At 47.0% G+C, this 2,060-nt stretch overlaps 1 annotated feature.

Annotated features, from left to right (window-relative positions):
• Positions 1,253 to 1,814: an enhancer, noted in NCBI's record as "H3K27ac-H3K4me1 hESC enhancer chr1:99054546-99055107 (GRCh37/hg19 assembly coordinates)". NCBI's record gives its function as "activates a minimal SCP1, AML or CMV promoter by ChIP-STARR-seq in primed H9 embryonic stem cells {active_cell/tissue: H9 hESC(primed)}" and the evidence as "EXISTENCE:reporter gene assay evidence [ECO:0000049][PMID:30033119]".

The raw sequence follows: 2,060 nt of genomic DNA, 5'->3' as shown, positions 1-2,060 counted from the left end.
TTTATTTTGAGCCTATGTGTGTCTCTGCACGTGAGATGGGTTTCCTGAATACAGCACACTGATGGGTCTTGACTCTTATCCAATTTGCCAGTCTGTGTCTTTTAATTGGAGCATTTAGTCCATTTACATTTAAAGTTAATATTGTTATGTGTGAATTTGATCCTGTCATTATGATGTTAGCTGGTTATTTTGCTCGTTAGTTCATGCAGTTTCTTCCTAGTCTCAATGGTCTTTACATTTTGGCATGATTTTGCAGCGGCTGGTACCGGTTGTTCCTTTCCATGTTTAGTGCTTCCTTCAGGAGCTCTTTTAGGGCAGGCCTGGTGGTGACAAAATCTCTCAGCATTTGCTTGTCTATAAAGTATTTTATTTCTCCTTCGCTTATGAAGCTTAGTTTGGCTGGATATGAAATTCTGGGTTGAAAATTCTTTTCTTTAAGAATGTTGAATATTGGCCCCCACTCTCTTCTGGCTTGTAGGGTTTCTGACGAGAGATCTGCTGTTAGTCTGATGGGCTTCCCTTTGAGGGTAACCCGACCTTTCTCTCTGGCTGCCCTTAACATTTTTTCCTTCATTTCAACTTTGGTGAATCTGACAATTATGTGTCTTGGAGTTGCTCTTCTCAAGGAGTATCTTTGTGGCATTCTGTGTATTTCCTGAATCTGAACGTTGGCCTGCCTTGCTAGATTGGGGAAGTTCTCCTGGATAATATCCTGCAGAGTGTTTTCCAACTTGGTTCCATTCTCCCCATCACTTTCAGGTACACCAATGAGACGTAGATTTGGTCTTTTCACATAGTCCCATATTTCTTGGAGGCTTTGCTCATTTCTTTTTATTCTTTTTTCTCTAAACTTCCCTTCTTGCTTCATTTCATTCATTTCATCTTCCATTGCTGATACCCTTTCTTCCAGTTGATCGCATTGGCTCCTGAGGCTTCTGCATTCTTCACGTAGTTCTCGAGTCTTGGTTTTCAGCTCCATCAGCTCCTTTAAGCACTTCTCTGTATTGGTTATTCTAGTTTTACATTCTTCTAAATTTTTTTCAAAGTTTTCAACTTCTTGGCCTTTGGTTTGAATGTCTTCCCATAGCTCAGAGTAATTTGATCGTCTGAAGCCTTCTTCACTCAGCTCGTCAAAGTCATTCTCCATCCAGCTTTGTTCTGTTGCTGGTGAGGAACTGCGTTCCTTTGGAGGAGGAGAGGTGCTCTGCTTTTTAGAGTTTCTAGTTTTTCTGCTCTGTTTTTTCCCTATCTTTGTGGTTTTATCTACTTTTGGTCTTTGATGATGGTGATGTACAGATGGGTTTTTGGTGTGGATGTCCTTTCTGTTTGTTAGTTTTCCTTCTAACAGACAGGACCCTCAGCTGCAGGTCTGTTGGAATACCCTGCCGTGTGAGGTGTCAGTGTGCCCCTGCTGGGGGTGCCTCCCAGTTAGGCTGCTCGGGGGTCAGGGGTCAGGGACCCACTTGAGGAGGCAGTCTGCTGGTTCCCAGATCTCCAGCTGCATGCTGGGAGAACCACTGCTCTCTTCAAACTGTCAGACAGGGACATTTAAGTCTGCAGAGGTTACTGCTGTCTTTTTGTTTGTCTGTGCCCTGCCCCCGGAGGTGGAGCCTACAGTGGCAGGCAGGCCTCCTTGAGCTGTGGTGGACTCCACCCAGTTGGAGCTTCCCAGCTGCTTTGTTTACCTAAGCAAGCCTGGGCAATGGCGGGCGCCCCTCCCCCAGCCTGGCTGCCACCTTGCAGTTTGATATCAGACTGCTGTGCCAGCAATCAGCAAGACTCCATGGGGGTAGGACCCTCCGAGCCAGGTGCGGGATATAATCTCGTGGTGCGCCGTTTTTTAAGCCCGTCGGAAAAGCGCAGTATTTGGGTGGGAGTGACCCGATTTTCCAGGTGCGTCCATCACCCCTTTCTTTGACTCGGAAAGGGAACTCCCTGACCCCTTGCGCTTCCCAAGTGAGGCAATGCCTCGCCCTGCTTCGGCTCACACACGGTGCGTGCACCCACTGACCTGCGCCCACTGTCTGGCACTCCCTAGTGAGATGAACCCGGTACCTCAG

Source organism: Homo sapiens, chromosome 1 (genome assembly GCF_000001405.40).
Source record: "Homo sapiens chromosome 1, GRCh38.p14 Primary Assembly".
In the NCBI taxonomy this organism is placed as follows: domain Eukaryota; kingdom Metazoa; phylum Chordata; class Mammalia; order Primates; family Hominidae; genus Homo; species Homo sapiens.
This window is presented reverse-complemented; position numbering and strand designations above follow the sequence as displayed.